The 24,619-nt window shown below is 45.2% G+C and overlaps 1 protein-coding gene, 1 long non-coding RNA gene, 1 other non-coding gene and 1 pseudogene across 7 annotated transcripts, besides 4 other annotated features; 2 read left to right on the top strand and 2 right to left on the bottom strand.

Moving 5' to 3' along the window:
• Positions 1 to 13: 13 nt before the first annotated feature.
• Positions 14 to 433, bottom strand: SCARNA2 (small Cajal body-specific RNA 2). The gene has a single exon (NR_003023.1).
• Positions 152 to 911: an enhancer, noted in NCBI's record as "NANOG-H3K27ac-H3K4me1 hESC enhancer chr1:109642337-109643096 (GRCh37/hg19 assembly coordinates)". NCBI's record gives its function as "activates a minimal SCP1, AML or CMV promoter by ChIP-STARR-seq in primed H9 embryonic stem cells {active_cell/tissue: H9 hESC(primed)}" and the evidence as "EXISTENCE:reporter gene assay evidence [ECO:0000049][PMID:30033119]".
• Positions 912 to 1,671: an enhancer, noted in NCBI's record as "H3K4me1 hESC enhancer chr1:109641577-109642336 (GRCh37/hg19 assembly coordinates)". NCBI's record gives its function as "activates a minimal SCP1, AML or CMV promoter by ChIP-STARR-seq in primed H9 embryonic stem cells {active_cell/tissue: H9 hESC(primed)}" and the evidence as "EXISTENCE:reporter gene assay evidence [ECO:0000049][PMID:30033119]".
• Positions 3,692 to 9,862, bottom strand: TMEM167B (transmembrane protein 167B). 4 transcript variants are annotated; one of them, NR_136242.2, is made up of 4 exons: positions 9,744 to 9,862; positions 8,878 to 8,966; positions 7,605 to 7,736; positions 3,692 to 6,209 (listed from the first exon to the last, which is right to left on the bottom strand). NR_136242.2 is itself a non-coding variant. In NM_001322248.2 (3 exons), the coding sequence occupies exons 1-3, from the start codon at positions 9,751 to 9,753 to the stop codon at positions 6,047 to 6,049; spliced, it is 366 nt and encodes a 121-aa protein (NP_001309177.1). In that variant the 5' UTR covers positions 9,754 to 9,862; the 3' UTR covers positions 3,692 to 6,046. The 4 variants fall into 4 exon arrangements, 2 of the variants coding, with proteins under 2 accessions (NP_001309177.1, NP_064526.1); NM_001322248.2 differs by lacking the exon at positions 8,878 to 8,966 and having other exon boundaries at positions 7,544 to 7,736; NM_020141.4 differs by lacking the exon at positions 8,878 to 8,966.
• NDUFB3P1 (NADH:ubiquinone oxidoreductase subunit B3 pseudogene 1) lies at positions 7,586 to 8,159 on the top strand (annotated as a pseudogene).
• Positions 10,029 to 10,228: an enhancer, noted in NCBI's record as "active region_1435". NCBI's record gives its function as "activates an Ori minimal core promoter by ATAC-STARR-seq in GM12878 lymphoblastoid cells {active_cell/tissue: GM12878}" and the evidence as "EXISTENCE:reporter gene assay evidence [ECO:0000049][PMID:35858748]".
• On the top strand, positions 15,876 to 22,334 carry TMEM167B-DT (TMEM167B divergent transcript). 2 transcript variants are annotated; one of them, XR_947688.3, is made up of 2 exons: positions 15,876 to 17,411; positions 21,980 to 22,334. It is a non-coding gene; the product is annotated as a TMEM167B divergent transcript (long non-coding RNA). The 2 variants fall into 2 exon arrangements; XR_007066295.1 differs by having other exon boundaries at positions 21,976 to 22,334.
• Positions 24,366 to 24,615: an enhancer, noted in NCBI's record as "active region_1434". NCBI's record gives its function as "activates an Ori minimal core promoter by ATAC-STARR-seq in GM12878 lymphoblastoid cells {active_cell/tissue: GM12878}" and the evidence as "EXISTENCE:reporter gene assay evidence [ECO:0000049][PMID:35858748]".

Raw genomic sequence — 24,619 nt, 5'->3', positions numbered from 1 at the left:
CCGGTGGCCGTGCCCAGATCAGAATCGCCTCGATAATCAGTGGCCGGGGACAAGCCCGGCCTCGTCTATCTGATCAATTCATCACTTCTGAGCGCCGGGCCCCGCAGGGCCAGCTCCGGGACCTCGGGGACCACAGCGTGGCCGCCGCCTAAGGGGCCTCGCTGCACAGCGCCCCGAGGGGGCTTCGCAGGAGGAGAGCTTTTCATTTCGGGTCGGCCCGGCGGGGCTGGGGTCACGATCCGATCAAATAAGATCAAAGTGTAAGCGGGAGGAGGGGCGCAGGGGTGGGCGCACGCACTCGCCTAACACGCTCCAAGCGCGCACACTCACACACTCACGCGTCCACTCACACTCACCCTGCACGCGCCTCACACGCGACGCCACAGCTCCGCACACAACACCCAGGACCCAGGCCGCTCTCCCTCCCTAAAACAGCGGAAGTCCGCTCCCCCCGCGACTTTTAAGCTCTCCGCCCCCTCCCGCGCCTTGGAGGATTCTGGGAGAAACCACCGAGCACAGGCGGACGAGTCCTGAGGAAGGGGGTGTTCCTCAGAGTGCGCGCGTTGCTGCCCTCGCGTGGCTCGGAGGGGAACATAGGTCCCAGGAAAAGGCAGTACTAATTTCCACCTTACAGAATCGTGGTTTTTTTTTTTTGGAGACCCGTTCTTGCTGTGTCGCCCAGGCTGGAGTGCAGTAGCGCGAACACGGCTCATTGCTCCTAGATCAAGTGATCCTCCCACCTCAGCCTCCTGAGTAGCTGGGACCACAGGCGATGGCCACGGCACTTAGCCTTTTGACCTTTGTATAACTACATAGTTATATACATATCTTTAGTTTTTCTGTGATCGTGACTTTAATTTGTCTTCAATTTCTTTCTTTCTTTTTGAAATGGAGACTCGCTCTGTCGCCCAGGCTGCAGTGCAATGGCACGGTCTCGGCTCACTGCAACCTCTGCCTCCCGGGTTCAAGTAATTCTCCTGCCTCAGCCTCCGGAGTAGCTGGGATTACAGGGGTCCGCCACTATGCCTGGCTAATTTATGTATTTTTAGTAGAGATAGGGTTTCATCATGTTGGCCACGCTGATCTCGAACTGCTGACCTCGTGATCCGCCCGCCTTGGCCTCCCACAGTGCTGGGATCACAGGCGTGAGCCACTGCGCCCGGCCCAATTTCTTTCTTTTTTTTATAGACGGAGTCCAGCTCTGTCACCCAGGCTGGAGTGCAGTGGTGCGATCTCGGTTCACTGCAACCTCCACCTCCTGTGTTCGAGCGATTCTTCTGCCTCAGCCTCCCAAGTAGCTGGGATTACAGACGCCCGCCACCACGCCCGGCTAATTTTTGTATTTTTAGTAGACTTGGGGTTTCACCGTGTTGGCCAGGCTGGTCCTGAACTCTTGACCTCAGGTGATCCGCCCGCCTCAGACTCCCAAAGTGCTGGGATTACAGGTGTGAGCCACCGCGCCCGGCCTTAAATTTTTTTGAGACGGAGTTTCGTTCTTGTTGCCTGGGCTGGAGTGCCATGGCGTGATCTCGGTTCACCGAAACCTCCGCCTCCCGGGTTCAAGCAATTCTCCTGCCTCAGCCTCCCAAGTAGCTGGGATTACAGGCATGTGCCACCACGCCCTGCTAATTTTGTATTTTTAGTAGAGTTAGAGTTTCTCCATGTTGGTCAGGCTGGTCTCGAACCCCCGACCTCAGGTGATCTGCCTGCCTCGGCCTCCCAAAGTGCTGGGATTACAGGCATGAGCCACCGCGCCCAGCCCTTTTTAAATATGATTCAACTTCAGGATATTCATAGGTGAGTGACTTCTTTTCCAAGAAGACATCAATCTCTGGTCATTACCATGGGGAGCATCAGCTTCCCCAGTAGCCCCTTCTCCCTAGGGAGAAGGCAAACATCATTTTACCAAAGGGAAAGGTAAGGAATAGAGTACGTATGTATGTATGTATGTATGTATGTACTTATTTGAGACAGGGTCTTGCTCTGTCTCCTATGCTGGAGTGCAGTGGTACAATCATGACTCACTGCAGCCTCAACCTTCTGGGCTCAATTGATCCTCCCACCTAAGCCTCCCAAGTTGCTGGGACCACAGGTAACACCTGGCTACTTTTTTTCTTTTTTTTTTTTGAGGAGTCTCGCTCTGTGACCCAGGCTGGAGTGCAGTGGTGCCATCTGGACTCACTGCAACCTCCGCTTCCCAGGTTCAAGCGATTCTCCTGTCTCAGCCTCCTGAGTAGCTGGGATTACAGGTGCGTGCCACCATGCCCAGCTAATTTTTTGTATTTTTAGTAGAGACGAGGTTTCACCGTGTTAGCCAGGATGGTCTTGATCTCCTGACCTTGTGGTCCATCAGCCTCAGCCTCCCAAGTGCTGGGATTACAGGCATGAGCCACCGCATCAGGCCCACACCTGGCTACTTTTTAAAACACATTTTTGTAGACAGAGGTCTCACTACGTTGCCCAGTCTGGTCTTAAACTCCTGGGCTCAAGCGATCCTCTTGCCTTGGTTTCCCAAAGTGCTGGGATTATAGACTTAAGCCACTGCACACAGCCAAGAATACTGTATTTAAATCCAAATATTAGGAAGTCAGGATATCTATGAAATGGGTACAGATAGGAAGGCATATTCCTGTCCCCACTTAGAGAGCCCTAAGTCTGCCCACAACTTAATGCTGTGGCACCCAAATTTTTGAGCCTTCATTTATGGTCATATCTATTAAAACATACGTTGACTTCCAAGTTCCAGAATGAGTAGAGTGTAAAATAGCAGTGGTTATATAAGCAGAATTAGCTCCTCTCACATTAGAAAGCATAATTTTAATGGCTCAATTCCTTCTTTTTCCTTTTTCAATGAAATGGGTGTTGGGGGGTAGAAATCAGAAGAATTTTGGAGAGTAGTACAAAATGATTTAAGTTCTAATTTGTACTTGTGCCAGTCTCACCAGGCACTTGAAATAAACAAATAAGGGGGAAAGTACCCATTGTATGTGCCAGAATCCCGCTGGCTCAAGGATTTTTTTTATTTTTTATTTTTTTTTTGAGACGGAGTCTCGCTCTGTCACCTAGCCTGGAGTGCAGTGACACATTCTTTTTTCGTATTTTTAGTAGAGACAGAGTTTCACCATGTTGGGCAGACTGGTCTCGAACACCTAACGTCAAGTGATCCACCCGCTTCAGCCTCCCAAAGTCTGGCTCAAGGATTTTCTAGGTGTCTGGCTGGTTAACTTGTTAACTTCATTTGAATGAAGATGTTTATGACTGTTTAGAGCAGATGATACTTGTATTTTAATAGCAATAGCAGATGGAATGTATTGGGGGTGCTATCTACCTTATTTCATTCATATACCTCAATACTTATTCATTCACATATATATGAATATCTTATTCGTATATATATGAAAACTTACTACATGCATTTATATTTAGTTATATATATCTCAGCATATCATATATACATATATATATCTAGTTATAGATATCTCTAGATATATCTGTCTCAGCTGCCCTAAAGGAGAAAACTAGGCCATCATAGATTCTTAACTATATAATACATTCAATGCTCTCACAATGGGATAACAGGAATGATGGTATTTACTAATGTGAACTAAAAAGGTAGGCTATGAACTGAACCCAGGGGAGGACTGAACAAACTTCAATAAATTCAGCATGTGACAAATAAATTGACAAAGACTGTAGGGAAAAAAAGGTTTATTTTCAAGGATTTGTGCAGACAATGGTGAATAAAAAATTGTATTTCAACTATAAAAAGGAGCTGACTTCATTCCACCCTGGCCTACAGGGTTTATGGTGATGCCAGTTTGAATCTGAGGCAATACTGCTATCCCCATTCCTCCACCTGTAAAAGATTCCCCCAGAGGAATAACATTCTATAACTTTTAGTCAAAAATATGTAAGACACATCAAACAAAGTAATGAGTTAAACAAGTTTCTGCTTATCTGCTTAGGGAAAGTCAAGAAATGAAACAAATGTATATTTGTTTCTGGCTGTAAATTACCTTTACCTTGTGCACTTTTTGGTACATTCTGGTATGAAAACCTCTCAAAATGTAACAACACAAGAGTTTGGGTCAAGACGACCCACCCAGGAGGCTGTAAAAACTGGTTTGAACTAGAACTGTGGAATGGAACTAGTTTAAAATATGAAGCAGCTCTAAACACCAAGCTTAGAGACATTTGCCCTATTAGAAAACAAAAATCATTAAAGCTACAAAATAACAAGTGCAAACATGCTGAACCTGTTTCCAGGGAGTGACATTCCCTTCTGCCAACAGGTCCCAAACTCACACCCACAAGGTGTAACTCTCTTTCCTGTTCCACTAGATTTCCTTTCTCTCATCTCAAAGGTCCTCAGAAATGACAATGGAAAACGTATGAATTGTTGAAATTTACCCTGTGGACCAATTCCTGAAGAGATAACAGCCACAACTCTGAGATGATTAGACATGCAGTGTTTACTTGATGACTTTCTGTATTTCTAGAAACCCTCAAAGCATTAAACTGCCTATTTCAAAATCTAAACTTCCTAGCAGCTTTTATTATTTGGAGTAAGCAGACAGAAGACAATTTACTGCCACACAGGAATCAACCACAGCTAACTTGTCCACCATTAAGTTTTACGGTAATGGACAATTCAACTGGAAGACCCATGTCTATGCTTGCTTATAATAATTTAATTTTAGACCTACTCTTTTTTTTTAAATAGAGAAGTTCTAGACATCCAACAGCTGATCCTTCCATAGATATAAGCAGGGAATGGAGAAGTCTTCCTGCCAAATGCTGAGCCATCTAAAATGGTCTGCTCAGGAGTTACTAACTCCATGGCAAAGTACTTCAGTATCAATTGCAAAGTTCTGTTTTCTTCTACTTCAGGAAACAACCTCATTTGATTTGTGGACCCTATGAACTGTCCAAACACACTGATGAATATCAGCAACTTCTCTCATTTGAATTTCTCATGTCCTTAAAGTAAATAGAATTTCCAGAGACAACTAAAGAGCAATGCAATATGAAGAAAATTAAAATTTGGCTAAGAAAAATAAGTAATCAACTAAAAATTGCCATAACACTCAGACTTAAACAGAAAATAAGTTTGTTGTCTTTTATAAGATGACAAAACTTCAATCTAACATCACAAGTTCTTATACTAGATGAATTTACTAGTATATGAATCAATATACTAGATTTCTTTCTTCTACCCCAACTGCAAATATACTAAACAATTATTTCTTCAATAGTTTCTTTTTCCCCTAGTCGTGGCATTTAAAACTGAGTAACAGTATTTAGCACTAAGTAAATTTAGAAAATATAAAAAGGTTTTACGAAATAGCAATAGTTGATTCATTTTTCATATACCATCTGATCAAGTGAAGTCTCCATTTGAGGATACTGGTGAACAGAAAGATTTTTTCTTGTCTAAGCCACTGCTTTCTGGTCTCATCACACAGATAATTCTCAAATTTTATGTAGGCCCAGATTTTCTTGGCAAAACTCTCAAGATACCAGCACATAACACAGCTACTTCATCTGTTCTCTTTTTGCAATGAGCACTATGCCTCTCTTTTATGTTCCCGGATGGGTACATGAAAGATAAATTTCTAAAGCCAAAGAATTTCTTGGCATTTCATAACTGTTTCCCACCCAGCATCCCCTCCCCAATTTGCCAGATCCAAATCAAAGAGTGAAAAGAAGTCTTGAAAATTCTCTCTCTTCAAAAGAAGTCTGAACACAGCCTAGTTCCTTCCCTAATGAGCCTCAGTTTGAAAAGATCCTGATGAGGAGCTGAAGAACAAAACAGGATGACAGGTTTTTATGAAGGAGGTATGTAATCTTATCACCGAGGGGTGTAATTTATCCGGACATTATATGCACTCTGCCAAGGACTGATTTACACATAGATCAAAGGAAGCTGGCTTTCTGTAGTCCCCTGAAGCATAAATAATGTTCGTGACCATGAGTTTTCCCCACATATAGCAGGGGCAGATGCTGTGGTGTCATCCTGGGGACCGATGATTTCAGCTGAACTCTCCTACACTGGGTTCAGGTCTCCAACAGGTTCTTCATCCCCGTCCCCTTGGTTGGCAGTTGATGACTTGGGTGCTTTGGAATTCATTTTATAAACAGGACGTAAAAGGCCATTACAACACAAGCAATTGCCACAGCAGCATGCAGCCTGGTTCCAATCACAGCGGCTAGCAGGCAAAAGAGAGAAGAAATCACACCCTGCCCTTCACCGAAGTCCTCACTTTCAAGGTGATATTTTGAAGTCTCTAGTCACAGACAGACATATCAACGCTCTCAAGGGCCTGGGATGTTTTTATTTTATTTTTGGAGGCAGTCTCACTCTGTCGGCCAGGCTGGAGTGCAGTGGCGCGATCTCGGCTCACTGCAACCTCTGCCACCCGGGTTCAAGCAATTCTCCTGCCTCAGCCTCTTGAGTAGCTGAGATTACAGGCGCCTGCCACCATGCCCAGCTAATTTTTGTATTTTTAGTAGAGATGGGGTTTCACCATCTTGGCCAGGCTGGTCTTGAACTCTTGACCTCAGGTGATCCACCCACCTTGGCCTCCTAAAGTGCTGGAATTACAGGCGTGAGCCACCGTGCCCGGCTCCCTGGCTAATTTTTGTATTTTTAGTAGAGACAGGGTTTCACCATGTTGGCCAGGCTGGTCTCGAACTCCTGACCTTGGGTGATCTGCCCTCCTCGGCCTCCCAAAGTGTTGGGATTACAGGCATGAGCCACCGCATCCGGCCTCTGAGATGTTTCTAAATGCTATCCTTATGCTTTAGGGTCTAGGTGAATATACTGTTTGTTTATATTTTGTCCTTTTTCAAAAAAAAATTTAGGTAGATAGGATTCCAAATGAATGTGCCTCAAATAAAAAGTACAAAAAAGCATCTGAGTTAATTAACTCAAACCTTAAAACAGACTCCAATGTACCATTTACAGAAAATCAAGAAAAATTTTCCGTAGAAAAATTTTTTTCCCACTGAAGGGAGGAATTCCACCCCAGCCTAAAATGATTTGATGTGTATACTTTTACTCCATGGAGAATACAAAAATCATCTGGATGCTAAAATAGACAATTATGTTTTTAAATAATTTTTTTTTTTTTTGAGACAGGGTCTCACCCTGTCACCTGGGCTGGAGTGCAGTGGCTCCACCATGGCTCACTGCAGCCTCAACCTCCTAGGCTCAAGCAATCCTCCCACCTCAGTCTCCTGAGTAACTGGGACTACAGGCACGTGCCACCATACCTGGCTAATTTTTGTATATTTTGTAGAAATGGGGTCTCACTGTGTTGCCCGGGCTGATCTACAACTCCTGGACACAAGCAATCCTCCTGCCTTGGCCCCCCAAAGTGCTGAGATTATAGGCATGAGCCATCACACCCAGCAAATTTTAACTTTTACCTCTTCCCTCAACTTTGGAGAATGATTAATTTTCCAGACTCTCAGACCCAATCGGAGGGATTTTTTTCTAAAAATGAAACCAAATATAATCCCAGCTCACTGTACTCCCTACTTTGTAGCTCCACACTGTCCAGAGATGGCAGTCTCTTCTCCCTGTCCAGACATGGCCTCACCTTTGTAAAACACACCCCAAACACCCTTCTTCTCTGATAGCAGCCAGGTTTTGAGACGAGGTACTTTCTTGAAGTAGGCACAGGTGCAAACAAAGAGCAAACCAAACACCAGAATCCCATCCAAGGAGTACACTGTTAAATAAAGAAGAAAAGAAAACCTTAGGTACTGATCTAGCGTCGGACCTGTGATCCCGCCTGAGAACTCTAAGGAAGATAGTGTGTGACATAATAACAAAATAATAACCTCAACAGGCAGTACTGACACTTGACAAGGGGGAGCCAGGATCCTGGGACTAACACGATTATTTTACTGTTCCCAAAAATTGCTTGTAGGAGGAAGGGGGATCAATTGAGCCCAGGAGTTCGAGGCTGCAATGAACTACGATCATGCCACTGCACTGTAGCCTGAGCAACAGAGTGAGACCCCAACTCAAAAAAAAATTTTTTTTTTTACATCCCCTTTACTAAAATGTCACTGGTCCTTCCCCTCACCTTTCAAGAAGTAGAAATCCTGGGCAGAAATTAGCATCCCAGGAATGACTAGTGTTGGCAATAGATTGAGACATATGAATCCTTAGAGACTCAGCACAGAGAATTTAACATGTTCTTGTTATAAATCACTCATATGATAAAGGAGAGCTAGATATGTAGCCAAAACTGTCAGATGTGCAACTGTTGGTGAAGAATATGTTAAGGCAAAAAATTAAGCTTAATGAAAGTTGCAAGAGTAAGAATCCACATGACTACAATTTTCCTATCATTATCTTACACTTTATGGATGATACTCTTAACAAACCGAATTTCTGCCAGAATAATAACAGATTTTTCTAAAACAAAGAAAAAGTATCTAAGGCTTCAACATAGAAAGCTTTAACTTCTTAGCTCTGTTTCTTAAATACATAAACCAAGCTTATTTCTTGTACAGGGAAGCACAATGAATCACCTAATTGCAAAAAACAAGAAGATATTGGACCACAAAATGGGGGAAGAATGACTAAAATTTATTCAGCAACTACCGTGTCAAACTGCTGTCTTACTTCCTGGTTCAGATTCTGTCTTCCTCTGGGTAAATTCCCTTTTCTTACTGTGCCTAGTATCCTGAGACCTCTGACTTCCCAGGAAGCTCCAAATGAATATTATATATAACCAGTGTCTGCCAGTTCTAGATCACACTACCTCTCTTCCTCCAGTAAAACTGTCTCACAGCTAAGCTGTCACTAAGAAAGGGTCCAGCAAATTAATACATACACTAAGGTTTTCTGAGGAACTATACCTTCACGTGCTACCCCTTTTCTCTCATAAGTTTCTGCAGACAATGCCAAAATTCACAAGGAGGTTAAATTCGAGTCTTCAGTGCCAGGTCTATGGACAAAGTACTTTTGAGAAATGCTTTCCGGAGCCCCTCAAATCATCGTAATGCCTAAAAGGCTTTCTCTTCTCCTTTCCTGTAAGGTTGACACTAAAAATCATGAAGGCCCTCCTTCCTGTCCTCCTCTGGAATTCAGAATTCATAAAGTGTTTGAAGAGGCCTGGAAAATTAGGTCAGATAAACTGCCTCATCATCTAGAAGAGGCAGTGTCTAAATCCACCCTTTGCAACACTAGTCAGGGTCTCCACGTGGGATCACCCCGCCAGGACTTTAAAATCAGAAATCTTTCCGGTATTTTTCCGTAAGAAGAAGCTTTTGTGGGGTCTACATTCACCAGCAACCCCAAAAGTGTGGGACTTGATATTCTATGTCATTTATTGGCCCTCTCAACAAAACTACGGTCCGAAAGCATGAGAACGCAGGGAGCTGGGAGGAGGAGCCTCTCTCTTCCCCGGGTTTAAATAGCAGTAGTACCTCTGGGACTGACCTCTCCAAGGGCCAGAAAGAACTAAGAAAAAGAAAAGGGAAAGCAAAGCATAGGGATAGATAACTCGAGGTGTGAGCATAAGAGGCACTGGGGGTCCTAGATGAATATGGGAAGGGGGAACCCGTAGAGGAGTATAGGGGTACAGAAGTTAGGGGCGTCGAGAGGCCAAGGGGGGCCGGGCTGGGAGGGGGCGGGGAGAACGGCCACGTCAGTCCCGGCCCCGCCCGCCACGTTTTCCCTTCGTCCTTCACTCCCACCCTCCGCTCAGGGCATCAGTTCTCACCGTTCGTCATGGCGGCTGGCCCTGGACCTGGGTAGGGGGTCCGGGTTCAGTGGTAATAGCGGCGGAGATGGGGGAGCGCCCGCTTGACACTTCCCGATCCGGGCCGAGGTGACTGGAAGAAGCCGTAGTACGCAGGAGCAAGGGCCGAGAGGCGAGCGCCGAACGCTATCAGGAGTGGCTAGCCGATTGTCGAGCTCGGGAAACTGCGTGTTTACGTAGGGTAAGAAGAACGCTATCTCGAAGGCTTCGTACTTGGCCGTGGTAACTAAGTCTTTTCTGCGTGCCCCTGCGGGCGTAGGGCTGGGGCTGGCCCGCGTCAGTGTGTTTGAAAAGGTAAAGGCTTGTAGTTTTGTAGTTTATTTTGCGCCGTGGCGGCTGCTGTGTGTAAGCAGCAGCCTACCTATGAGGTTTTCATCGTCCTGGGCTTCCACTTGAGAGAACTCCAGCACCGCGGGTGAAGAAGCCGCACCTGCGGCCTCCGTGACTGCCCTTGAGCTGCTCTTCCTTACTCCGGATGGAAATCTAGTCAGACTGCGTCTGAACGTTGCAAATGAAATGAGGAACCTTGTAACAAAAACAAGTCGCGGCCGGGCGCGGTGGTTCACGCCTGTAATCCCAGCACTTTGGGAGGCCGAGCCAGGCGGATCACCTGAGGTCGGAGTTCGAGACCAGCCTGACCAACAAGGAGAAACCCCGTCTCTACTAAACATACAAAATTAGCCGGGCGCGGTGGCTCATGCCTGTAATCTAAGCACTTTAGGAGGCCGAGGCAGGCGGATCACCTGAGATCGTAGTTCGAGACCAGCCTGACCAACATGGAGAAACCCCGTCTCTACTACAAATACAAAATTAGCCGGGCATGGTGGCTCATGCCTGTAATGTAATCCCAGCTACTCGGGAGGCCGAGGCAGGAGAATCGCTTGAACCTGGGAGGCGGAGGTTGCGGTGAGCCGAGATCGCGCCATTGCACTCCAGCCTGGGCAACAAGAGCGGAAACTCCGTCTCAAAAACAACAACAACAACAACAACAACAACAAAAACCAAGTCGCATCTTTCAGATCCTAAAGCACCACGTCGTCGGAAAACATTCAAAGGGTTGCCCGTTTGCTTGTGTGAATTTTTCTTTTCCTTAAACTATCAGGAGAATCTCGATTCTCCTGCATTTAATTAATGCTGGGATCACTTCAGCCACTTTAACCAGAAATCGGCGATATCTAGACACCGCTTCTCTGAGGACACTTTGACAACGTGACAAAAGACATTGCCAGTCTAATGATGGGGGTGGGGTGGAGGAGACAAAAGTACAGATTCAGATTTGCATACTGAAATCCTTAATTGCACACAACTCGGCCCGCTTTATTAGAGTTCGGGCGGAAGTGCGACACCGAGTCCTCCAAGGCTAACTGGAGGGTTAAATTATACGGTTACTAATCCGCCGTGCTTGTCAAGGGCCTAAAGGGACTCTGCCCCTTTCTGCTGCAGTGCCATCTGCTGGCTGCAGCCTGCTTGGTTACCCAGAGGGAAAACTGCCAAAGCATCCTCTGGAAGCTGGCCTGGAAAGACAAGCCAAAGTCTAGTGCAGGACAGATGCCTTGAGAAAATATACATACATGCAGAAAGAAAAAAAAAAAAAGACGGCGTATATACGGGACAAAACCTAGGACAAGGCCAGGCAGCCACTCAGATTATATATATGTTTGCACATTCACACACAGACAAATTCCCCTGCCCAAAAGAACTGTTCAGGACCACTCAAAAACAAAACAGAACAAAAGCTCTATTGTTTAGGCCTTCGAATCCTTCATCAACCATTGTCTAAAACAGCAGCAGCTGGCCGGGCGCGGCTCACGCCTGTAATCCCAGCACTTTGGGAGGCCGAGGCAGGCGGATTACCTGAGGTCAGGAGTTCAAGACCACCCTGACCACATGGTGAAACCCCGTCTCTACTTAAAAAAAAAAAAAGAAAAAAGAAAAAAAGAAATACAGAAATTAGCCTGGCATGGTGGCGTGCGCCTGTAATCCCAGCTACTCGGAAGGCAGAGGCAGGAGAATAGCTTGAACCCGGGAGGGAGAGGTTGCAGTGAGCCGAGACAGCACCACTGCCCTCCAGCCTGGGCGACAGAGCGAGACTCCATTTCAAATAATAATAATAATAATAATAACTGCCCCCCTTTGGCCGGGCGCGGTTGCTCACGCCTGTAATTCCAGCACTTTGGGAGGCCGAGGTGGGCGGATCACCTGAGGTCGGGAGTTCGAGACCAGCCTGACCAACATGGAGAAACCCCGTCTCTACTAAAAATACAAAAGTAGCCGGGCATGGTGGCACATGCCTGTAATCCCAGCTACTTGGGAGGCTGAGGCAGGAGAATCGCTTGAACTGGGGAGGCAGAGGTTGCGGTGAGCTGAGATCCTGCCATAGCACGCTAGCCTGGGCAACAGTGAAACTACGTCTCAAAAAAAACAAAGAAAAGAAAAAAAATTGCCCCTCTTGTAATCCTACAGCCATCACCTTAGTAATTTTGCTATATCGGTAGTCTTTAAGTATCAATTATGTCCTCACAACAATGAAAACTTACATTTTTATAACATTTTGACATTTTCAAAGCAAACACACCTTGTCATATGATCTTATTTAACCCTCACAACTGCCTGATTACCCCTGTTTTAGAAATAAACCAAGGTTTAGGGTAAGGACTGCCAAGTATTACACTGGCACAATAATTCCAGCCTTCTGAAATCAGGACTAGAAAATTTTCCTCCATACCACACTGGTGTTTCCTTTGACAGCAACCACTACCTACTGAATAATGCCTAAGTCCTTAGCCTGCTACTCAAGGCCTTCCAATAGTATTTTCCACTGTTCCCTATATGGGCTTTAAGCTTTGTCTATAAAGACTATGTTCTTCAGTTACAGTCTTTGCTTTCTCATTTTTGCTCATGCCACTCACTTTTTAGAGATAATTTTTTCTCCCCATTTTTTTTTAACTAGATGAAAACCTCTTCAGTTTTTGTCATACTCTGAAAGACAAGTCTTTCCTCTTCTGTCATTCTCAGAGGTTAGAATAAAAGTTAATCAGCTGGGCGCAGGGGCTCACGCCTGTAATCTCAACACTTTGGGAGGCCGAGGCGGGAGGATCACCTGAGGTCGGGAGTTCGAGACCAGCCTGGCCAGCATGGTGAAACCCCGTGTCTACTAAAAATTCAAAAAAATTAGCCGGGAGTGGTGGCAGGTGCCTGTAATCCCAGCTACTCAGGAAGCTGAGGCGAAAGAATCACTTGAACCTGGGAGACGGATATTGCAGTGAGCCGAGATTGTGCCATTGCACTCCAGCCTGGGCAACAGAGTGAGACTCCACCACAAAAAAAAAAAAAAAAAAAAAAAAAAAAAAAAGTTAAGCCCGGGCGCAATGACTCACGCCTGTAATCCCAGCACTTTGGGAGGCCAAGGTGGGCAGATCACCTGAGGTCAGGAGTTCAAGACCAGCCTGGCCAACATGGTGAAACCTTGTCTAAAAACACAAAACTAAAAACACAAAAATTAGCCGGGCATGGGGGCGTGAGCCTCCAATCCCAGCTACTCAGGTGGCTAAGGCAGGAGGGAGAATCGCTTCAGACTGGGAGGCGAAGGTTGCAGTGAGCCGAGATTGTGCCACTGTACTCCAGCCTGGACAACAGAGTGAGACTCCCTCTCAAAAAAAAAAAAAAAAAGAATAAAATGTAAAGGCTGGGCATGGTGGCTCACACCTGTAATCCCAGCACTTTGGGAGACCGAGACAGGTGGATCACTTGGGGTCAGGAGTTGGAGACCAGCCTGGCAACATCGTGAAACCCTGTCTTTACTAAAAATACAACAATTAGCTGGGTGTGGTGGTGTCTGTCTGTAATCCCAGCTACTCGGGATGCTGAGGCAGGATAATCACTTGAACCGGGGAGGCAGAGGTTGCATTAAGCTGAGATCACGCCACTGCACTCCAGCCTGGGAGACAGAGCAAGACTGTGTCTCATAAACAGAAAAAAAAAATTAAGGATGAAATCAAAGCTGAAAAACCAGGAGGAGTGATGAATTGGCAAATTACAATTTTTTTTTTTTGAGACAAAGTCTCACTCTGTTGCCCAAGCTGGAGTGCAGTGGTGCAATCACTGCTCACTGCAACCTCTGCTTCCTGGGTTCAAGCAATTCTTCTGCCTCTCCTCCGGAGTAGCTGGAACTACAGGCATGCGCCATCGTGTCCGGCTAAGTTTTGTATTTTTAGTAGAGATGGGGTTTCACTACGTTGGCCAGGCTGGTCTTGAACTCCTGACCTCGTGATCCGCCCGCCTCGGCCTTCCAAAGTGCTGGGATTACAGGCGTGAGCCACCACACCCAGTGGCAAATTCCAATTTTTATTTTATTTTATTTTAGCTTTGAGACAGAGTCTCGCTCTGTCGCCCAGGCTGGAGTACAGTGGCGCCATCTCGGCCCACTGCAAGCTCCGCCTCCCAGGTTCCCGCCATTCTCCTGCCTCAGCCTCCGAAGTAGCTGGGACTACAGGCGCCCGCCACCACGCCCGGCTAATTTTTTGTATTTTTAGTAGAGACGGGGTTTCACCGTGTTGACCAGGATGGTCTTGATCTCCTGACCTCATGATCCACCTGCCTCGGGCTCCAAAGTGCTGGGATTACAGGCATGAGCCACCGTGCCCGGCCTCAAATTACTATTTCTAAAGGGCAGTGATAATGCACACAGTATCTTATGATTAAACAGTTTTCTTTTAACTCCACTCAAAATTTACTTTTTCTTCATTTTCCACGTCTGTCTCTATTCTTCCTACTTTTTTTCTCCCACTCTTAAATTTATTTCTTCTTTCTCCCTCCACCATATTTTTTCTTTTTCATATTGTAAAAGATATTTTACATTTTTTTAATTGAATAGAGTGAGTCTCACCAGGCTATTTCAAAATTAGTTGTATCAAGACTTTTATATTCTAAAATCAAAAAGTTGACCAGGTGCGGTGGCTCATGCCTGTAATCCCAGCACTTTGGGAGGCCGAGGCAGGCAGATCACGTCAAGAGATTGAGATCATCCTGGCCAACATGGTGAAACCCCGTCTCTACTAAAAATACAAAAATTAACTGGGCGTGGTGGCACGCACCTGTAGTCCCAGCTACTCGGGAGGCTGAGGCAGGGGAATCGCTTGAACACGGGAGGAGGAGGTTGCAGTGAGTTGAGGTCGCGCCACTGCACTCCAGCCTGGTGACAGAGTGAGACCCCGTCTCAAAAAAAAAAAAAGTTCAGTTTTCTGTGAAATTAAGTTAGTTCCTTTCTAAGGTTGTTGGAGGATTAAGTGAATTACTATTTACAACAATATCTGACATGAGTAAGTATTCCATAAATGATAGCTATTATTGTTGTTCATTTTGAGGGAAGAGAGAGACCCTCTCATATTGTTCTATACTCAGAAAAGGAAAGAGAAGAGAAACTAAAGGCAGGTAGCCCAGTGCCTAGGAACCACACCTGAAACCAGGCCTAGGCCTGCCTGACCTAAGCCTGGTAGTTAAAATTCGACCCGTGACTTAGCAACTGATGTTATCTATAGATTCCATATATTGTATGGAAAGACATTGTGAAACCTCCAGTTCTGTTCTGTTTCGCTCTGACCACTGGTGCTTGCAGCCCCTGTCATGTACCCCCTAGCTTGCTCAATCGATCATGACCCTCTCATGTGGATCCCCTTAGAGTTGTGAGCCCTTAAAAGCACAAGTTGAGCACCTGAAGAGCTCGGCTCTTGAGACAGGAGGCTTGCCGATGCTCCCAGCCGAACAAACCCCTTCCTTCTTTAACTCGGTGTCTGAGGAGTTTTGTCTGAGGCTCCTCCTGCTACAATTTGTTTTAAAAGTATCTGTGGTTGGCCTGGTGGCTCACGCCTGTAGCCCCAGCACTTTGGGCACTGAGGTGGGCGGATCGCTTGAGCTCAAGAGTTCAAGACTGGCCTGCACAATATAGTGAAAGTCTGTCTCTACAAAAAATAAAAAAATTACCCAGGCATGGTGATGCATGCCTGTGGTCCCAGCTACACGGGAGGCTGAGGTAGCAGAATCACCTCAGCCCTGGAAGTGGAAGTTGCAGTGAGTCATGATTGTACTGCTGCACTCCAGCCTGGATAACAGAGCGAGACCCTGTCTCAAAAAAAAAAAAAAAGTACTTGTCAGTGTCTACTACTGTGTGCTAAGCACTTTGCTTGATTTTGCAGAAATGGGGCATAAATAAGTCCCTGCCCTCAGAGAAGAAAATATGTTGGGTAAGATAGATGAATAAACACATTTTAATAGAACATGAGCATTGTGTAAAGACAGTATCTTTGATTTTCACAACTGTTTTACAGATTTTTTTTTTAATTAAATCTTGAGACTTAAAGAAGGGACGTGGGTGAGATAACATAGCCTGTTAGGATCCATACCCAGGTCTAAGTTCAAAGCTCCCTTTCCCTTGTTATCACACTGCCTCAAATTACAGTGCTTTCCACTGATACTGATCTTTGATTATTTTGTTACAATCATTAATGTTTCTGTCACCCTGGAAAGTCTCATAGCCTCACTGCCACCCAGTGCAGTCATGTCTCACATCAGGCCAAAGCCTGGGTGACCAGCTCTTGCAGCCCAACTGCAAAGAATAAATAGAGCCTACTGGCCTAGGGACTCTCAATTCAGACAGTTCTTCCTCAATTCATTTCAGTGTTCACTGGAGAATTGGTAGTTGTTGCCAAACGCCTGTCAGTCAAGAACAGTGGCCTGTTTGTTAGGGTTGTTGCAGTTATTGTGGTGAACACTAATCAGTCATGGGGACCATGACTGTGGCATTCTGGTTTAACCAAAGAGTAAGTTGAGCCTCAAAGGCACAGCTTGCAACAATAGCTTCATTTGAATTACAACATATTTGAAAAGGGATGTCAAATAGGCATTAATTTATGCTACAAACATTTGTTCCAGGACTTCTAAATCTAAGGAATGTGCTAGCCTTTGGGAACTCAAAGATGAATGAGAAATAGACTCTGTTCTTAAAAAGTTTAAGATTTAGTAGAAAAAGATAAGCTGTGTTTATAAATAACCAAAAAATACAGCAGAAAGTGAGAAGTGTCCAAGGAAAATGAAAACTAAGTGCCAGGGTGGCGGGGGGGTGCGTAGAAATGGGAAACTGCCTTCAGCTGGAGCGTTCAGGGAAGGCTTTATTGAGGAGCAGACATTTTAGCTGGGCCTGAAAAGCTTATAGCATTTCAATAAGCAGAAATAAAGAGCATTCTAGTGGGGAGGGAATTGAGCCATCAAAGCCCTGGAGAGGGAAAGTGTAAGGTAAGATTGGGGCACAGTAAAGCCTCCCTTCCTCCTTCAATGGCTAACTCACATTCATCCCTCAAGTCCCAACTCAGACCTCACTTGCTCAAGGTAGACTTCTCGGACCTTCAGTCTACTTCCCTGATCATGTTTCCAAAGCATACTATATCTGTTTAACTTATGTCCCCCTGCTATATTGTAATGTTCATTTGTTTTGTCATTTTATCCACAATCCCATAGCTAGTGCTAAACATTTTGCAAGTGCTTCATGAATATTTATTGCATGAATAGTTGAATGTGGCCTTGTGGAACTGGAATGCAGAGCTCATGAAGGAGAACAGCAGAAGATAATGGTGAAAGGTAGGCCCTTAAATAAAAACAACTGCCGGGCACGGTGGCCCATACCTGTACTCCCAGCACTTTGGGAGGCCAAGGCGGGCGGATCACCTGAGGTCGGGAGTTCAAGACCAGTCTGACCAACATGGAGAAACCCCATCTCTACTAAAATACAAAATTAGCCAGGCGTGGTGGCCCATGCCTGTAATCCCAGCTACTCGGGAGGCTGAGGCAGGAGAATCACTTGAACCCGGGAGGCAGAGGTTGCCGTTAACCAAGATTGCACCATTGCACTCCAGCCTGGGCAACAAGAGTGAAACTCCATCTCAAAAAATAAAAAAAAATAAAAACAATGATACTTATGGAATATTCACTACATGCCAGGTACTACCCAAAACACTTTATGGTTATTAACACATCTAATAACCTCATAATAACCTTATATGGTTAGTAACTATTATTATCCCCCTGTCATAGATGAGGAAATGGGTGTACCAGCAGGTCAAGTAAGTTGTCTCAAGGTAACATAGCTGATAAATAGTACACCTAGGATTTCAGACTCAACCTATCTGATCTCAGAGTCTGCATATTTAACCATGGACCATAGGAAGTGTGGTTAAGACTCCATTAAGATTATTGCAGAAATTCTGAAAGCCATTTTAAAAGTGACATAACCTCACTAAGCCCAAATTAGGGAGAAGCACTGTAGACGTCTACACCCTGGGATGGAGGGGTGAAAGTGGAGGTAGGGGTGGGACTGCAAAGCTTCTGCCTTGATTTGGAGTCTGAGTGGTGCTACCTGCCTACCAATATCCCATCACTAACACCTCTCAGACCCACCATCCAGCTCCTGCTTTCCTCATTTCTGATAATCCCACCCCTGCCATTCCTTCCAAATTACTCTCATAGAGCTCCATTTCTTCCTTCTATCAATTACCTCTCTGCTGATTCCATTCTTTTGTGAACAAATCTCTTTGGTCATTACCTTTTTCATTAAAAGCTCATTCCATTTTTTTGCTGTAATGAAAAACAGGATTTTCTGAGCAGTTAGCTAAATGGCTGGGATAAGTTCACAGCTTCATTCATTCAGTAATCATTTATTCAAAGTCCACATTCCTAGGTCCTAATGCCCTCTTTTTTCTTTCTTTTTTTTTTTGAGACGGAATCTCGCTCTTGTTGCCAGGCTGGAGTGCGGTGGCATGATCTCGGCTCACTGCAACCTCTGCCTCCCGGGTTCAAGCGATTCTCCTGCCTCAGCTTCCCAAGTAGCTGGGACTACAGGTGCGTGCCACCACGCCCAGCTAATTTTTGTATTTTTAGTAGAGACGGGGTTTCACCATGTTAGCCAGGATGGTCTCAATCTCTTGACCGCTTGATCCGCCCACCTCGGCCTCCCAAAGTGCTGGGATTACAGGAGTGAGCCACCGCTCCCGGCCTTTACTGCCCTCTTAAGGCTACTTTCCTCTTTGCTTTTCTACCTTCAGTATCCAACTATGTACTCGTTCTTTAACCTGTTATAATCTGGCTTCCATCTTCACCAACACCCTCAAACTTTGTTCTCCAGATCATTCCCATACCTCCTAATTGTCAAATCCAAGGCCTTTTCTTAAATCTTCAATCTTGTGGCCGGGCGCGGTGGCTCAAGCCTGTAATCCCAGCACTTTGGGAGGCCGAGGTGGGCGGATCACGAGGTCAGGAGATCGAGACCATCCTGGCTAACACGGTGAAACACCATCTCTACTAAAAATACAAAAAAAAATTAGCCGGGCGCGGTGGCAGGCGCCTGTAGTCCCAGCCATTCGGGAGCCTGAGGCAGGAGAATGGCATGAACCCGGGAGGCGGAGCTTGCAGTGAGCCGAGATCAAGCCACTGCACTCCAGCCTGGGCGACACAGCGAGACTCTGTCTCAAAAAAAAAAAAAAAAAAAAGAGAAATCTTCAATCTTGTAATCTCTGGCACTGAGCACTCCATGCCACCTGCTTTTCTTTGTTGGTTTTGTTTTGTTTTGTTTTGAGACAGAGTCTTGCTCTGTTACCCAGGCTGGAGTGCAGTGGCATGATCTTGGCTCACTGCAACCTCCGCCTCCTCGGTTCTAGCTGTTCTTCTTCCTTAGCCTCCCGAGCAACTGGGACTACAGGTGCTCGCCACCACATCTGGCTAATTTTTTTATTTTATTTTTATTTTTTGTATTTTTAGTAGAGACAGGTTTTCATCATGTTGGCCAGCCTGGTCTGAAACTCCTGACCTCAAGTGATCAGCCCAAACCTGCTTCTTTTTGAAACTTTTTCTTTTTGGGTTTTCAGTTTTTCTCCTCCCTCTCCTCCTCCTTATCCTACTTTTATCTTTTCCTACCTCTTTGACTATTCCTTCTGTCACTCTGTCTCCTTGATGTACTGTTTCTAAGGCTGTGCCCTTTGCCTCTATTCTCTCAGCCTTTGTTTCCGTGCAATCTCTAGACTATCACTTTGTGATGGTATCTCCCATGTCATTTTCTCTAGTACTAATTTTTCTTTCTTTCTTTCTTTCTTTTTGTGTGTGTGTGTTTTAGTAGAGACAGGGTTTCACCATGTTGCCCAGGCTGGTCTCGAACTCCTGAGCTCAGGGAGTCCACCCACCTTGGCCTCCCAAAGTGCTAGGATTACATGCGTGAGCCACCACACCCGGCTTCTAGTACTAATTTTTCTGTGGATTTCCGGGCCTGTAATTCCTGGCCTGGATTTCCATCAGTTTTAGTACATCTCCAGACTCTCAAACACAGACTAAACTCATTTCCTTCCACTTCCAACTTCTTTCCCCTTTTTCTTTCCTATTTATATTAATAGCATTCCATTCTTCTGTCAATAGCTTTCACATTCATTGTCACAAAGTCCTGTAAATTGTCTCGTAAAGTTTGTGTTAAATCAGTTCCTTCTTCCTCTTTGCCTTAATTCAGATTATAATCATCTCTCATCCTAGTTTCCCCGCAAAAGTGATCTTTTTAAAAACTGTAAAGTCATGTGACACATCTGTTTAAAGACTTCCCAAGAACTCTGTAGTTTGAAGTTCAGTCTCTGAAGAGAACATTTAAGGCCTTTCACACGCAAATTCCAGCCTCGTTTCCTGCATCCCCACCCAAAAAACTTGGCTCTGGCAACCCACAGAGAACATCTTGTAGAAGCACACCATGACTTTTTACTCTGTGTTTTCCTTCTGCTCTGCTTATCACACTGCAATTTTTTTTTTTTTTGAGACGGAGGCTTGCTCTGTTGCCCAGGCTGGAGTACAGCGGCGCGATCTCGGCTCACTGCAAGCTCCGCCTCCCGGGTTCATGCCATTCTCCTGCCTCAGCCTCCCAAGTAGGTGGAACTACAGGCGCCCGACACCACGCCCGGCTAATTTTTTGTATTTTTTTTAGTAGAGACAGGGTTTCACTGTGTTAGCCAGGATGGTCTCAATCTCCTGACCTCGTGATCCGCCCGCCTCGGCCTCCCAAAGTGCAGGGATTATAGGCGTGAGCCACCACGCCTGGACTGACACTGCAATTTTTTTTCCCCCACTTTGTGTTTTGGATCTCAGGTTCACAGGATTGAATTATTCACATGCCGCAGCTCATGGCATAGTATTACAATTGGCCCTTCCAAAGTCCTTCACTTTTTATTTATCAATTTATTCCTTTTATCCTTATTCCCATTTCTCCTACACTGCAACTTTCTAGTGTGTTTAATGTTTACGCTTTTTTATATTTTCCTTTAAAATAAGTAGTATTTTTAATTTCTATAAATGGTATTATATTATAGATTTTATTGTTTCTTTTTTAACTTAGCACTGTTTTCAAGTTCTGTCCATGTTGCTAAATCTATTGCTTCTGATTGCTGCATTGTACTCCGTGCTGTGCATCCAGCATATTTTACCTATCTACTCCACTGATAACAGACACTATGAATGTTTTATGCCTGACCTCCTGGACACTGGATCACTACCTAAAAGCAGTTCTCAAACCTATCAGGCTCAACAATCTCCTTTAAATATTAATAACAAATACAGTGTCTCCATTATTGTGTAGTGAAATTCAAAAATAATATAATTTACTGTGGTAGGTGACCTCTCAGAAAGCCCCCAGTGATCTCCCCAGCAATATTCTTGCCCTTATGTAATCCCCTCTCCTTGAACTTGGGCTGCACTTTTTTTTTTTTTTTCTGAGATGGAGTCTTGCTTTGTCGGCCAGGCTGGAGTGCAGTGGCACCATCTCAGCTCACTGCAACCTCCGCCTCCCGGGTTCAAGCAATTCTCCTGTCTCAGCCTCCTGAGTAGCTAGGATTACAGGTGTGCATCACCACACCCGGCTAATTTTTGTATTTTTAGTAGAGACAGGGTTTCACCATGTTGGCCAGGCTGGTCTCAAACTCCTGACCTCCTGATCCGCCCACCTCGGCCTCCCAAAGTGCTGGGATTACAGGTGTGAGCCACTGCGCCCAGCCCTAGCTGCACTTTTTTACTTACTTCTAGTGAATAGAATAGGGCAGAAATTATAGGATGTCACTTCCAAAATTAGGTAACAAAAAACCTGTGATTTCTGTCTTTTGGGTTCTCCCACTTGTGTCCTCTGGAGGAAGGCAACTGGCACATTGTGAGCTGCCCTATGGAGTGGATTACATGGCAAGGAACTGAGGGAGACCTCTGGGCAACATCCATTAAAGAACTGAGGCCCTTAGTCCAACAACCTGGAGGAAGTGAAACCTCCAGCAACCTGTGAGTGACTCTGGCAAATTCTCCTCCATCAACACTTGAGGTATGACTGCAGCCCCAGCCAACATCCCGACTGCAACAGGAGGGACCTTGAGCCACAGGCACCCAGTTAAATTGCACCCACATTGCTGACCCACAGAAACTGTGTGATATTTGTTTTAAGCCACTAAGTTTTGGGGTAATTTGTTACAGCAATAAATAACTAATATATCTACCTACTCACATAATTTTGAAAATAACATAATATCCTAACAGGATCCAGTGATCCAGTGGCCAGGAGGTCAGGCATAAAGGTAATATAAAAGTAAAGTAAAAATAGTAACATTTGTTTCAATATATAAATACTCAGGTATGATGGCACTAGGGGGGGATAATGAAGATTTCAGATGCTTCTACCTATATGTAGAATTGCTTTGAATGCAGACTGATTTGGGTGAGTATTGTCGACCTAAAAGGAAGAAGCTGAGGCAAAATTAATATAAATAGAGAGTTTATTTGGGCCAAACTTGAGGATTACAACTCAGCAGCATAAAGTTGCCTAGAATATACACTCTAAGATTAGCAGCAGGTACAAGTGGATTTTTAAAGGAAAAGAATGAGGACAGGGAGTGGGCTGATACAAAGTTGTCTTTAAGGAGTTCTCATTGGTTCACAAAAATAACATTGATTAGTAATTGGCTAAACATTATCAAGCTATAGGGTGTGCGATATGGTGTCTGATGGGGCATAATTAGGCTAATTTATAACTAATACTTGTGGCAATAGCAAGCGGTTTTAAGACATAAATACATAGCTCAAAAGGGGGCAAGCAGGATGTGATTGCCTCTCATTTTAATGCCTCTTTGGGCCTAATAATTTAACTCACATTCCTCAAATCAAAGTTATTTTTTCATTATTCACTATTCAAATTATTACAAGTGATGTTGCTTTTGGTGACGTTATTTCTTGAAATGGTACACAGCTCTTAATGAATTCCAGACCAAACAAAATACAATTACTATTCAATTTTGGGGTAATAACATTCCTAGAAACTTCAACGTACATTAAAAGTGTGGGAAAATGCTTTGTGTTTATTTTTTTAATTTTTATTTTTTGAGGTGGAGTCCCGCTCTGTCACCAGGCTGGAGTGCAGTGGCACAATCCCGGCTCACTGCAACCTCTGCCTCCCGGGTTCAAGCGATTCTCCTGCCTCAGCCTCCCGAGTAGCTGGGATTACAGGCGTGCGCCACTACGCCCAGCTAATTTTTGTACTTTTAATAGAGACGGGGTTTCATCATGTTGGCCAGGATGGTCTTGATCTCCTGACTTTGTGATCCGCCCACCTCGGCCTCCCAAAGTGCTGGGATTACAGGCGTGAGCCACTGCGCCCGGCCGCTTTGTGTTTATTAACAAAGATAGGTTCAACTCTCAGATAATTAGTTTTCACTCACCGAATGTTCAGCAGGACATTCAGAAATCGTGTGTATTACGGGATTTTCTTTATGTAGCATCATCTGTTACACTGTAGGGACATTTATATTATATCCCTAGCTCTGGCCTTCCGATGCCTGTGGTTTTGCCAGCCATTGTTCTGACCAAAAGCCTTCCCCGGTGGACACGGTGGCTCACACTTGTAATCCCAGCACTTTGGGAGGCAGAGCGGGGCAGATCGCTTGAGGCCATGAGTTCCAGACCAGCCTGGGCAATGTGGGGAAACCCCATCTCTACTAAAAATACAAAAATTAGCTGGGCATTGGTGGTGTGCGCCTGTAATCCCAGCTACTTGGAGGCTGAGGTGGGAGGATGGCTTGAGCCCAGCAGGTCTAGGCTGCAGTGAACCCTGATTGCGCCACTTCACTCCATCCCGGGGGACAGTGAGGTTGTGTCTCAAAAAAACAAAAATAAGGCCGGGCATGGTGGCGCACGCCTGTAATCCCAGCTACTCGGGAGGCTGAGGAAGGAGAATCACTTGAGCCCGGGAGGCAGAGGTTGCAGTGGGCCGGGATCGCGCCACTGCACACTTCAGCCTGGGCGACAGAGTGAGACTTCGTCTCAAAAAAAAAAAAAAAAAAAATCAAAAAACCTTCACAAAATTTTAAATGCTTAGTCTCGGGACACCATCTCTTGGAAATTTGTGATGAAGCACAGTATCCCCAATAATTAACACAGTGCTTAGAAACAGTGGAACTACAAATCTTTAAAATGATTTAAAAGCATATTTGTCTGATAAAGGACTGCTGGCTTGCCCTCCTATGATCCATAGCTTCGCAGTCCCCAAACAAGAAGCTGTGATTCAATACGCAGTAGCAAATTCAGGGTGACAACGAGATACTCGCGACCTAGCCCGTGATTTCCTTTTCTTTGTTAGTTTTCAATTCCTTCGGGATTACAGGGAGGCGCTCCGGCCTCCTCCCTTAGAGACTGTCGCATTTCCGCCGCTAGGCCGGAAAGCACCACCGTCCTCCCGCAGGCCGCAGAGGGCTAGGCCCAGCTACGGCCCCGCGCGTCACCGGAAGTGAGGCGGCGGA

Source organism: Homo sapiens, chromosome 1, assembly GCF_000001405.40.
Source record: "Homo sapiens chromosome 1, GRCh38.p14 Primary Assembly".
In the NCBI taxonomy this organism is placed as follows: domain Eukaryota; kingdom Metazoa; phylum Chordata; class Mammalia; order Primates; family Hominidae; genus Homo; species Homo sapiens.
Note: the sequence above shows the minus strand (reverse complement) of the source record. Positions and strands in the feature narration are given on the sequence as shown.

What these genes read in the sequence shown, in the direction of transcription:
- TMEM167B (NM_001322248.2), bottom strand. An exon ending in GGACAGTGTGGAGCTACAAA is followed by an intron (nt 6,210 to 7,543) that starts GTAGGGAGTACA and finishes TTTGCCTGCTAG; the next exon opens with CCGCTGTGATTGGAACCAGG.